The sequence below is a fragment of the Homo sapiens genome, chromosome 3, assembly GCF_000001405.40.
Source record: "Homo sapiens chromosome 3, GRCh38.p14 Primary Assembly".
Classification (NCBI taxonomy): Eukaryota; Metazoa; Chordata; class Mammalia; order Primates; family Hominidae; genus Homo; species Homo sapiens.
In genome coordinates this window covers 188,001,598-188,015,749 of record NC_000003.12, presented here as the reverse complement: position 1 = coordinate 188,015,749, position 14,152 = coordinate 188,001,598, and the positions used below count along the sequence as shown (strand labels likewise).

The following is a 14,152-nucleotide window of genomic DNA, read 5'->3' as shown; positions in this document are numbered from 1 at the left end:
ATTAAAATAGGGAAGGATAAAGGGAAGTAAAGATGAGTAAGGTTTCTATACTTCGCTCAAACAGAAAAAATTATGACATTAGTAGATTATGATATGTATATGTAATATACTACCTAAAACAACCATTCAAAAAGCTTTACAAAATGAAACACTCAAAAACATTATAAATAAATTAAAATGGAATTAAAAAATGTTCAAGCAGCCTATAGAAAGGTAGGAAAAAAGGAGAGCAACAAAAAACAGAACAAGTAGAAAACATAAAGAAAATGGCAGACAAATTCTAGCAAATCAATAATTATATTAAATGTTAATGGTCTAAATATACCAATTAAAAGATGGAAATTGATAGAGTGGATTAAAAGACATGACCTGATATTTGTTGTCTGTAAGAAATTCACCTCAAATATAAAAGTAAAAGTAATTTGAAAGTAAAAGAATATTAAAAGATATATCTGGAAAATATGGATCAAAAGAAAGCAAAAGTGGCTGTCTATATTAATATCAGATAAGGTGGACTCCAGAGCAGAGAAAATTACCAGAGACAATGAGGAACATTATATAATGATAAAGGGGTCACTCAATCAAGAAGATATAGCAATCCTAAATGTGTATGCACCATACAATAATGTTGTAAAATATGTGAAATAAGAACTGATAAAACTGAAAGAAGAAATAGACAAATCTATAACTATAGTTGGACATTTTAATAACCAACTTTCAATAATTAATGGAACAACTAGACAGAAAATCATCAAGGATATAGAATTCAACACCACTATCAACCAACAGGATCTAATCCACGTTTACATAACACTGCACTAAAACACAGCTGTATACACATTGTTTTCAGGCACCACAGAATATATACCAATGTAGAGCATGTTCTGGACCATAAGATAAACAAGTAATTAAAATCATGTGGAATGTGTTCTCTGACCACAATAAAATCAAATTAGAAATTAATAACAGAAAGATAATAGGAAAATCTCAAAACACTGGGAAACTAACCAACAGTTTACATAATCTATGGGTCAAAGAAAAAGTCTCAAGGAAAATTACACTGCACTGAGTGAAAAAAAACAAAACAAAACACAGAACAAAGTGAGATACATTGAACTAAATGAAAATAAGAATACACTGCAAATATGTGGGATACAACTAAAGAAGTCCTGGGGGAGAGAGAGAGAGAGAGATTGATTTATAGTACTAAATGCTTATATTAGTAAAAAGTCTCAGGTCAATCATGCAAGTTCCTGCCTCAACAAAAAAAAAAAAAAAGAAAAGTAAAGCAAAATAAACTCAAAGTAAGCAGAAGGAAAGAAATAATAAAGATAACAGAAACCAATGACATAGAAAACTACAACACAATAGAAAAATCAATGAAACAAAGAGCTTGTTCTTTGGAAAGATCAATAAAATTGATAAACCTCTATCAAAGTGCAAGAGAGTGAGATAGAAATGGAGAGATGGAGAGAAAGAGAAGGAAAACAACTTATTAATAGCAGGAAAAAAAACAGAGGATATCATCACAGACTGAATCACTAAAAGAATAATAAGGGAATACTATGAACAACTCTCCACACAAAAATTTGACAAATAAAATGGATCAATTCCTTAAAACCATAAACTACCACAACTTATCTAGTATGAAATAGATCATTTGAATAACCCTATAATTATTAAGGAAATTGAATTCAGAATTTTAAAAACTCCCAAAAAGGAAATTTCTAGTTACAAATGATTTCACTAAAGAGTTCTTCCAAACTAAAGAAGAGTTAACACCAGTTCTACATATGTCCTAGAAAATAGAAAAGGAAGGAATAATCCTTAATTCACTTTATAAAGGTAGCATTGCTTTGATTTTAAAACCAGACAAAGACAGTACAAATAAAGAAAACGACAGACTAACATCTCCCAAAAATATAGAAGCAAAAAAAATTTCAAAAATAGAAAGGGACAAAATAGAAAAAAATCTCAAATAAAATCAGCAATTATAAAAGGAATTATGCACCATAACCAAGTGGGGTTTATTTTATGAATTCAAGGCTACTAAAGGTTTATTTTGAGGATGAAAGGCTGCTAGAATAGCTAAGTAGAAAGAAAAATATAATATATGATTATATTAGTCAATGCAGAAAAAGCGTTTGACAAAATTCAACAGTAATTTGTGATTTAAAAAAACTCTCAGAAACCAAAGAATATGTCTACAAATCCCTTTAGCTTATATTATACATAATGATAAAAGACTGAATCCTTTCCCCCTAAGATCAGGAATGAGGCGAGAATTTTCACTTTCACCACTTTTATTCAACATAGTTTTGGTTCTAGTTCTAGCCAGTGCAATTAGGTAAGAAAAGGCAACAAAAAGAATAAAGATTAGAAAAACAAAATAAAATTGCCTTGATTTGTAGATGATAGACTTTTATAGCAAATTACAAGGAGTCTACGAAAAAAAGGCTCCAAGAAGAAGTGAATTTAGCAAGGTTACAGAATGCAGATAAACATAAACAAATGAATTACATTACTATATACTATCGATGAACACATGGACATTGAAATTAAAAATACAATACCACTTATCATTGCTCAAAAACTGAAACACTATGTATAAACTTAACAAAATACTTACAAGACTTGTATGCTGAAGGCTATAAAATGCTGAGAAAAAAATCAAAGACGGTCTAAATAAATGGAGAGACACCATTTTTGTTCATTGATTTGAAAATTCAACATAATTGTATTAGTTTCCTATTGCTGCTCTAACAAATGACCACAAACTTAGTGCCTTAAAAAATACTTATTTTCTTACAGTTTTGGATTTTTGAAGTTTGATACTGGATCTTACAGGGCTAAAATCAAAGTGTTGGCAAGGCATGTTCTTTATGAAGGCTCTGAGGGGAGATCAAAGTCCCATATCTGCAAAGTCTCCTTTCCCATAGAAAGTAACATATTCACATGTTCCAGGGATTAGAATGCAGAGCTCTTTCAACAGTCATATTCTGCCTACCACCATAGTAAAAATGAATAATCAATTCTTCCCAAATTGATATGCAGATATGTCACAGTTTCTCTCCAAATCACAGCAAGATTTTCAGTACGTGTCAATGAGATTATGCTAAAAGTTATATGGAAAGACAAAGGAATTTAAATAGCTAAAACAACTTTGAAAAACAAGAATTAAGTAGGAGGAATATGTCCACTGGATTTTAAGACTTATAGCTACAATAATCTATACTGTATAGTGTTTGTAGAGAGATAGACACATGGATCAATGGAATAGAATAGAAATCACATACATAGGCTCACACGTATCTCTCATCAATTTTTTAAAAGGTACAGAAACAATTCAATAAAGATAGCCTTTCAACATATGGTGCTGCAGTAATTTGACGTCTGTTGGCAAGCAACAAACAAACAAACAAACACAAAAACTTCAACCTAAGTTTCACCCTTATGTAGAAATTAACTAAACACAGATCATGGAATTAAATATAAAGCATGAAACAAAAAACCAGAAAAAGAGAAAAACCTATAGGGAGAAAATCTCCAAGATCAATGGCTGAGCAAAGAGCTCTTAAACTTGACACCAAAACACAATCCATAAAAGTAAAAAGTGATAAATAGTACACTATCACAATTAAAAATTTTTGCCTTGTGAAAAGGCCCTGTTAACAGAATGAAAAGACAAGTTACAGACTGGGAAGAAAATACTTGCAAATCACATATATGATGAGGGATTAATATCTGGAATATGCATAGAGAGAACTCTATCACTTAAAATTCCTAGAGGGAATGTAAAATGGTACAATCTCTTTGGAAAATAGGTTGAAAATACCTTTTTTAAAAAGGATACATGCAACTACCATACATCCCAACAATTGCACTTTTGATTATTTATCTCAAAGAAATAAAGATTTGTGCTCATGCAAAATCCTGTATGTGAAAGCATACAACAGCTCCATTCATACTAGCCCCAAACTGGAAACAACCCAGAAGATGTTCTTCCATGGGTGAATAAACAGTGGTACATTGGCCAGGCATGGTGGCTCATGCCTGTAATCCCAGCACTTTGGGAGGCCAAGGTGGGCAGATGACCTGAGGTCAGGAGTTCAAGACCAGCCTGGCCAACGTGGTGAAACCCCATCTCTACTAAAAATACAAAAATTAGCCGGGTGTGGTGGCACACGCTTGTAGTCCCAGCTACTAGGGAGGCTGAGGCAGGAGAGTTGCTTGAACCTGAGAGGTGGAGGTCGCAGTGAGCCGAGATCATGCCACTGCACTCCAGCCTGGGTGAGAGAGGGAGACTCTGTCTCAAAAACAAAGCAAAACAAACAAACAAACAAAAAAACAGTGGTATTGTGGGAAGTCAGGGACCCCAAACGGAGGGACTGGCTGGAGCCATGGCAGAAGAACATAAATTGTGAAGACTTCATGGACATTTACTAGTTCCCAAATAATACTTTCGTAATTTCTTATGCCTGTCTTACTTTAATCTCTTAACCCTGTTATCTTCGTAAGCTGAGGATGTACATCACCTCAGGATCGCTATGATGATTGTGTTAACTGTACAAATTGATTGTAAAACATGTGTGTTTGAACACTGTGAAATCAGTGCACCTTGAAAAAGAACAGAATAACGGCGATTTTTAGGGAACAAGGGAAGACAACCATAAGGTCTGACTATCTGCAGGGTCGGGCAAAAAAAGCCATATTTTTCTTCTTGCAGAGAGCCTATAAATGGATGTGCAAGTAGGGAAGATATCGCTAAATTCTTTTCCTAGCAAGGAATATTGATATTAATACTCTGTGAAAAGAATTGTGTTCCTGATGGGGTGGAGATCTATAAACGGCCGCTCTGGGAATGTCTGTCCTACGCAGCTGAGATAAGGACTGAGATATGCCCTGGTCTCCTGCAGTACCCTCAGGCTTACTAGGGTGGGGAAAACCCCATCCCAGTAAATTTGAAGTCAGACCGGTTCTCTGTTCTCGAACCCTGTTTTCTGTTGTTAAGATGTTTATCAAGACAATACGTGCACCGCTGACCATAGACCCTTATCAGTAATTCTGCTTTTGCCCTTTGCCTTGTGATCTTTGCTTTTGTCCTTTGCCTTGTGATCTTTGCTCTCCTTTTTGCCCTTTGAAGCATGTGATCTTTGTGAGCTACTCCCTGTTTGTACACCCCCTCCCGTTTTGAAATCCTTAATAAAACTTGCTGGTTTTGTGGCTCAGGTGGGCATCAAGGTCCTACCGATATGTGATGTCACCCCCCGTGGCCCAGCTGTAAAATTCCTCTCTTTGTACTCTTTCTCTTTATTTCTCAGACTGGCTGACACTTACGGAAAATAGAAAGAACCTACGTTGAAATGTCAGGAGTGGGTTCCCCCAATACAGTGGCACATTTATTCATCGAATACTACTCAACAATGAGAAGGTACCAACTATTGATACACACACACCCTGGATGAATCTTCTGATAGGAATTATCCGGTTTTGACACAGCCAATTTCAAAGGGTTACATATGGTATGATTCCACTTATATTACATTCTTGAATTGACAACATTATACAAACAGAACAGAATAGTGGTTGCCACAGTTAAGGAAAGGGTTGGGGCAGAAGAGAAGTAGGTGGGCCTGTAAAAAGACAATGTAAAGGATCCTTAGGGGATGGAAAGATTCAGTATCTTGACTATATGAACATCAACATATTGATTATAATATTACACTATAGATTTGCAAGATGTTAACATAGGGAGAAACTGAGTAAATGTACAAAGGATTTCTCTGTATTATTTCTTACAAGTACATATGAATCTACAATTACCTCAAAATAAAAAGTTTAATTAATAAAAGTTCAGAGGAGATCAAACTAGGATGGTGATTCCAGGAGTGGTGGAGCTTCAGAGGAGGGTGGTGTTGGAGAAAAACACAAATGAGAGAAATAATTTGAAGAGCTACTTTAGTGGTCCTTACTCCCCCACCATAATCATGGTATCTTGGGTTGACTGAGATTGTGTGTATGCCTCTGGATAAGGGCAATTCTTGTTTGCTCAGTTACTTGGTACAAAGGATGGCGAGGGACTTCTCCACCTTGCGTCCCTTGTTGCCTTGGAGCACTGTCCTGTTCTGATCTATTAGTAACTTTTGGAGGCAAATCAAAGAGCCATTGATAGAAGGCTTTGAGGGGCTAAACTGCCCTCTCACTGGTCCTAGTATCAAAGTTTGGAGACGTTACATAAAGAAATTTTCTAAAATTCTCCAAGATAGTGAGGAGGTGGTGGTGGAAGGGTAGTGGGGATGTACTGAATGAATATGAGCTTGCCCATTGAGCCCATAGAATAAAAAGAAGAAGAAAAAGTAGGGGAACACTGGCTTCCAGAGGGAAGGCAAGATCATGCTTTTCCCTCCTTCACACCCATGTCCTTGCCACAGCCACACTCCCCTTCAAAGATGAGTCAGGGCTGTCAAAGGCAAGAGTATTATGGACTCCTGATTTGGGGGGTGAGTTTTCACAGGGCTGAGCTAACAGCTTGAATGTTCACCCTTCTCCCTCCTTCTCCTGGGGCTTCTCTCCCTGTTGCTTGGAAGCGGACTGTGCTTGGAAGGTGGCTGTCCCTGGGAAGGCCTGGGGGCTGGGGCATCAGGAGGGTTTTGTTCTGTTTCCTCCTGTAGCCCAGGCAAGAGAAGACTTGATGAGTTCTTGTGGCCCAGCTAGACAGGAGCCTGACTGAGGTCTAGGGTGTGGGCCCAAGCTTGTGGTGATGAGGTGCTCCTCTGCCTGCTCCTGCCCTGCATGGCTCCTGGAGAAGCACCCATGGCAGCTGGCTTGAGGGCTTGTATCCTGGATCTGGAATTTCCAAAACTGAGAGAGAAAGCATGAGAACAAGAAAGAGCAAGCAAGGGAAGTGTGGTGGAGAGAGAGAGACAGACTATGTGCCTTGGCTTATGCCTGTAATCCCAGCCCTTTGGGAGGCTGAGGCGGGTGAATCACTTGAGCTCAGGAGTTTGAAACCAGCTTGAGCAATATAGTGAAACCCTGTCTCTACTAAAAATTAAAAAAAAAAAAAAAAGAATTAAGCCAGGTGTGGTGGCATGTGCCTGTAGGCCCTGCTACTTGGGAGGCTGGGGTGGCAGGATCGCTTGAGTCCAAAAGGTTGAGGCTACAGTGAGCTGAGATCATGTGTCTGCACTCCAGCCCAAGTGGCAGACCGAGACTCTGTCTCAAAAAATAAAAGAAAAAAATAAAGATACAGAGAGACAAAGAGCAAATGAACAGAATATAACCACTTCATTTCTTTCTTCCTTTCTTTCCATATACCCCTTACGTTTTTATCCTGTCTTCCTCACCATCTTAACCTCCCCTTACATGATTTGGTTGTTTGCATTTTGGCCTTGTCTTGTTTTTATTTTAGCTTTGTCTTTTAGTGCTTGTATTGGTTTTTAGTAAATGACAGAAAATTCTCTAAGTCAACCCCGGGTCTTTACAGTGGGCTACGTGCTCTAATCCCCAGTCTCCACTCCCTGCATCTTTAGCCTCTCCCTGTCTCTCCCTCCAGTCCAGCCACACTTGACTGCTTACTGTTCCTTGGACATGCTAGGAGGAACCACCTCAGGGCCTTGCATTTGCTGTTTCATTTGCTGACTGCCTGCCCCACGCACCACCCTGCAAATTGCCACATGGCTGGCTAGTTCCCGTTCCAGGTCTTGCCTTAAATGTCATGTTTTCAGTGAGGTAGTCCCTGAGCATCCTATGTGAAATTGCATCACCCCTTCAACGCTCCTTACCCTCTTCTTGGTCTGCTTTATTCTCCAAAGCACGTGTAACTCTCTGACATACTCTGAATTTTACTCTTTTATCTTACTCATTGTCTGAGTTCTTCAATTAGAGTGTGACCGCTACAGGGGCGGGGCTTTTTGTCTGTTTTGTTCACTACCAAATGTGTCTATAACAGACCCTGGCGTATAGTAAGCAGTCGGGAAATACCTGATAAATAAATGAATGGAATAAGGGAATGGATAAAATTCTTACTGGTGCTAGACAAGATATAGTTTACATACGATACATCTCTAATAGTGTAAATTAAGTATATTAAATATTCTGTCAATTAATGTAATATTATTAAATATATTTAATAGTAATATTTAAACATTTCTTAAAAGTATATGACTTTGAAAAGAATACTGGACTGAAATTTAAAGAGTTGGGGTCAGTTCCGGAATCTTCAAAACAGATTCAACAGGGAAGAAGCATTTAATTTCCCTGCCTCGGTATCTACACTTGTGAAATGAGTATGATACTCTCTGTGTACCTCACGGGATTATCATGAGAATCAAATAACATATTGAATGTGGAAGTGTAAAAATGCAAAGGTAAATCACACGTATCCTCAAATCTCTGCCATGATAGAACGGTGGTATTAATGGTTAGTTATCATGTAATGAAGGAATTCAGAAAGTGCTCTTACTTATCCTCGTGGTGATAGCGACACACAGTATGACAAGAGCGCCGACTACTCTGTGGGACTTAATTGTCATGAGGTACCGTGCGGTTCTCTGAGAAACTTATCCTATGAAACCTGAGTGTCATTCGGGAGCTTATCAGCAGTGCTTCTTGAGGGGAAAGGAGAGCAGAGCAGCAGAGCCTGGCGATGTCATGGAATATTCCTTCCTTTCTTCCATTCCCCGAGCTCTGTGCTGTTGCATTTCTGGCTGCGTATTATTGACAGAGGAAATGCTGATTCATGGGTCTGAGTTATAGGAAACCTTGTTTCCTGGTGGAGAAACAAGCCCGGTGGTGCTGCCAGCATCCTCCTCTGCCAGTTTCTGCCACATGGCCCTGCTTCTGGGCCTGCACCCAGGCGGGCTGTGAAGCAGTAAGGCCAACTCAAGCGCGACCAATGAGGTCACTTTCCCTGGTGAACTGAACTAAGCTGAGACTCCTCTAGGGCCTCTGGAGGCTCTTCAGCTCTGATCTCACGATACCTTTCCAGCCCATCTCCAGCTGCTCCCTCTGGCTCCCCATGCTGCTGTCATACATGGCTACTCCCAGTTCTTTGTGAACACCTTGTATTTTCCAGTCTCTATGCCCTGGCTCATGGTGTTCCCTGCCTGGAATGGCCCCTGACCAAGTGTCGGCTCATTGAAATCCTACCCATGCTTCAACTCTGCTAAATTGCTTCTCGCTATGTGAAGCCTGCTAGATTTCCTTGTATTTTTTCCTTTCTTCCTTTCTTGCTTTTTTTTTTTGTAGGGGATTTTCAAATATACACATAAATAGACAGAATTATCTGATGAACTTCCATGTACCCTCGCCCAGCTTCAACAATTCTGATTCTTCTTGAACAGCACTTGTTCTTTCCTTCTTTGAGCTTCCTCAGCAGCTCTCATGTTCTGTGCATAACCCATAATTGCTGAATTGAGTGGGAAGAAGGTGACTCTGTGGATTTAGGGCGCTCCTTTTAGCCACCCCCCACAATAAGGAAACTGAGGCCCAGAGAAGTGAAGTGAGTTGCCCGATGTTATAAGACAGGTGGTGGCAAATTGAGATCAGATTCTTTTGAAGGGCCTCACAATCTAATTAGAAAGCATGGATAACATACTTATAACATGTATATGTTAGCAGATCTCAAGTACTACAGGGGCTCAAGTTATTAGTAAGTGTGTGTTGAATGAATAAATTAAACTTCCATTCAATTGATTAATGAGATGACCTCTTAAGCTTGGCACTGAGTAGTCCACTGGTCCTCTCCATTCTATCATCTGACATCAACATGCTGAAGGAGATTCCTGACTTCTGTGGAGAAAAATCCTATACAATTATAATGGCCAGTATGAGTTAGTGAGAAGTTTAAACTGGTAAATATTCAAAAATAAATTTTGTTTTCTTACTACATGGAGTAGAGAGTAGGCATTTTGTATCTGAAGAACCTAAATACTCAGAGTTAATTCTTACTGGAAAGGTAAGAATATAAATTAAGGGAGTCTGAAGTTCTGTGGCTTGAAGCACTTGTACATTTGATGACTTGGGAAAAAGACATAAAAAGTATGGCAAGATAAAGCAAGACATAAAAAGCCAGTCCTGGGATAATGGCAATTTTTCATCTTGATCCAGACCTATCTCAAACCTGGATCTTAGAAGTACGGCAAGGGGTCATTTGGATGTCCAGCCTGAGGTGCCCTGACTTTACTCTGTAGCCATGGGAACACAGATCCGGTCATCAGGCAAGCACCAAAGCTGTTGCCAGTGGGACAGGGTGGTGGATAGAAAATGTGTGTGACTTTTCTTCATAAAAGTGAGTTAAGACACAATTTGAGATTCTTTTTTTTTTTTTTTTTTTTTTTTTGAGACAGAGTCTCGCTCTGTCGCCCAGGCTGGAGTGCAGTGGCGCAATCTCAGCTCATTGCAAGCTCCGCCTCTTGGGTTCACGCCATTCTTCTGCCTCAGCCTCCCCAGTAGCTGGGACTACAGGTGCCCGCCACCATGCCCGGCTAATTTTTTGTATTTTTAGTAGAGAAGGGGTTTCACCGTGTTAGCCAGGCTGTTCTCAATCTCCTGACCTCGTGATCGGCCCAAAAAAGATGGCCTGAATCAGAGTCTTTCTGCAGGTTATGCAGAAGCAGCGCGTAATCACTGTATGCCTTGGCAGGTGTCGCACCCAGGCATCCACCAGGCATTCTGACAGCTCTGTCCCATGAGCTCATCTGAAGGATGGTGGTGGTCACCTCAATGCCTAGGTCACAGGGTGGTTCTGAGGTTCACCAAAGTAAAGGATGAGAGAATGATTTGTAACCTGCGAAGTGCCTCGTTAAGGTCCTGACAGCTTCATATCTGCTGTTCTTATTAGGGATAGCTAGTGGTACCTGCCAACATCAGAGACATTGCCCTGAAGGCGAGAGAGGATACAAAGAGGAGTTCTTAGAACTAGGGGTTGCATTTCCCATTTTAGTGTGGGCCAGAGACCCGGGTAAGGAGAGCACTGGGGACATTCCTGGAACTTTTGTCCCTTCCCTACACTCATCACTTTCTGTTGGTATCCCTGTGCAGATGATCATAAAATGTATCAAAATAAAACTTGCCCTAGGTGCCAGTTTTAGGGGCAGCAAGTTGAAGGGTGGGTACTTGCGAGGACATGGGGTGGTGAGAAGTGTTTTGCATTCTGTAGGCAGCCTGCAATTATGAAGAGAGAAAAATGGGTAGAATTTTAAACTTTGTGGGGGAAAAAGAGGATTTTAGGAGTACAGGGCAGAAGGATGGAATGTGCCCCTGAATTGGGCTGGTGGGGAGTCCTTTCATGTACAGGAAGGAATAAAATACTGCTAAAAGGAGATTTATGACATTCACTACAGTCAGATAGGATAGTAGATGACAGTTTGCTCTCTAAAATCCGTAAGGACACATTTCCTCCTAGGGAAAAGTATCCTTCCTCCCACCGCACCTGGCACAGGCATACACATCTATTTATTTCCTTAATAAAGTATTTCTTCAAGGAGATTAGATAGGTAAGTGCGTCCTAGCACTAAGTAACCATTACTCATCCCAAATGTGGTCTTCAGTACAATAAACCTTAATTAAACACCATAAAGGGACAGGATACTTGTTCAGGCCTCTAGGGGACACAAATTGGAACAGAACTTGAGCCCTCAACATGTCTATAGCTTAGCAAACTCATGTGGCTCAGAGCCTTCACAACAAAGCAGGAAAGGCAAGGCCTCCCTTTTCACCTACAAAGGATTCATCTTCTTCTATACCCTCTTTGTTACAGGACAGTAATGCTTCCAAGCTAGAGGCATTCAAGGAGTGGCCCAGAGAACATGTCATTCAGGGCCTGGAAGATTTCCATCAGCATTCAGGTAAAGGCCTTGGCCCCTGGAGCCTGTCTCACCAGGAGGGAGCCCGGCAGGAAAAAAACAGTTGGGTTGTACTGAGCTGATCTCATTAGTGCTAGGGTTAATCCTGAGGTTAATGTATATTCGTTAGATTTTTTTTGTTTGTTTCCTGGTGAAATATTTCCATCCCTAAGCTGAGTTACTCTGTAAACTTCGGCATGGATTTAGCTGCATTCTCACTGAAATGCAGTGCCAGTCAGTGTACAAAAAAAAGCCCTAAGATCTTCCTTTAAAAGGGCTATATTTGAGTGTTCAGGTCAGATAATAAGGCCCAGAGAAGGTACAGAAGAAATGAAGAGTCTGCACTTATGTGCCTGTAAATGTTTAACAAATGGCTCTGTGGGGTGAAGGGGAAGCCCTGTTTGTAGTATTTGCTGATTTCTGCTGTGTAAATACTCCCACTGTGCCTGATTTCAAGCTACCAATACGATGCTCACTGAATGTGGAGCTAGGAAGAGATGCCAGGGTCAGCTCTTGTGAGCTGGTACCTGTTGGCTCCCGTACACCGCTAGCCAGCAGTCAGAACAGACACAACGAGAACACACTTGGAGGAGAGGAGGAGTTGGAACTCAGATGAGGAGGTTAGGTAGGTGTGATGGTGAATGTGGGAGTGTCAGCAGCACACGAAGATAAGCAAGAGGTGGACAGGCTGAGCGGCAGCCAGCATCAAGCCAGCCATAATAAATGGTCATCCTAAGAAAGACAGCTACTATTCACTGAGCAATGCTATGTGTCAAGAATTCAGTCTGCTTTGTGATGTATTCTCACAGTATCTCTGCAAGGGTAATTTTATTCCTATTTAACAAATGAGGAAATTGAGGCCTAGAGAGATAAAGCAACTAGTCATGTAAGAAGTGGTTAGGTAAGAGTGCAAACCTGCTGTTTGTTTCCACTCTACCATCAAGCTAGGGGGAGGCTGGGAATAAGTCCTGTTCCTAGACAGGCAGGCTATGGAGCTGTTGGTGGTAGACTTTAATTCCAACAGTTTTGTAGGAATGAGGACCCTGGGTGGATTATGAAATCAGAGATAAGATGAGTCACTGGACCCAGGGTGCAAGGTCAGAAAGGGACAAACTTGATGCTGGGTCACCTGACTGCTAAATGTCCTCTCACTGAAGACAATAAAAGCCCTCAATCCTGGAGTGGAGCAGAGAATTAAGTTGAGAACTCTTGCAGTGTCAACCACGCAAGGTATCAGTGACCAAGTCCTTGTGGATGCAGTTGGGACTTCTGAGGAAATACCCTATATAGGATAACTATGGATATCTATGTTTTATATCAATAGGGGTCTACAGTCCTACAGAGCTGTAATACAGCCTACGGAAACGAGTTTGAAAATGGAAAACTATGCTGAATAAACTGCTTATGACCCAACATCATTCCAAAGCAGAGTTGAGACTATGGTATAGCCGTGCACAGTGTAAGGCATGAAGGTTGGACGAGGATCCAGGTGAGTTAGGTAATGGAAGAGGGATGTGACAAAGCGTGCAGAACCGAAAGCCTCAGGATGAGATGAAGAAGGAGTGAAGGAAGCCTGGGAATTATATTAAAGAAAACTAGAGGAAAACCACCTTTCAGGTAGAGGGTCAAGAAGGCCCAGGACTAAGAAGAGCCTGAAAGGTCTCCAGGGAATGTGACACTGGTGCAAAAGGGAAATGGAGTAATAATAAGTGGCTGATAAATCAGATTAAACTTTGCTGGTATTTGCTATCTGTAGATAGCTTATGTTCCTGAAGTTCCTTTCCTGAGTAGCAGAGTTTAATGGTGTCTCTTAACTGTCAGTATTCTGTGTGAGCATTGAGAGTTGAAAGATAGAATTACAGTGACACAAGGTGGGGAATTTATTATTCAAAGAAAAACCAGATTGAAGTGGGATGTTGTGGTTGTAGATGCCCTGTCTATGAAGGACAAATCTCCCTTTTCATTCTGGAGTGCAGTAGCCAAAATCTGTGCCATTACATGAGTGAGCCCTTTACTACAACAACCTTATGAGATAAGGTCTCCTATTCTTCCCATTTTAAATTACAGAGAAGGAAAGTTTACCCTGCTAAGAAATGGCAGAATTAGGATTTGAACCTCATATACCCTTTAGAACCTGAACCTATATTATTAGGGCAAACCATATAAAATTTTCTGGGTTTTTTAGTATTTTATATTGGATGTCGGTAATTCCCAATCACATTATTTTGACCCTCAGTGTACTGAGAATACCATAGAAGTAAACAGATTTTGCTGTTTCAAGAAGCAGAATAGTCAGTTTCAGCTGC

The 14,152-nt window shown here is 40.2% G+C and overlaps 1 long non-coding RNA gene across 2 annotated transcripts in view; it reads left to right on the top strand.

Annotated features, from left to right (window-relative positions):
* LOC107986166 (uncharacterized) overlaps nucleotides 1-14,152 on the top strand; it is a 48,325-nt gene that overhangs the window by 26,848 nt on the left and 7,325 nt on the right. The window contains exons 3-4 of one of the 2 annotated variants that reach the window (XR_001741061.2): nucleotides 11,762-11,849; nucleotides 13,171-13,335. This is a non-coding gene — a long non-coding RNA (uncharacterized LOC107986166). Of the gene's footprint in view, nucleotides 1-11,761; nucleotides 11,850-12,320; nucleotides 12,472-13,170; nucleotides 13,336-14,152 lie in introns of those variants that run through there. The other variant, XR_001741062.2, reaches the window with a different exon arrangement.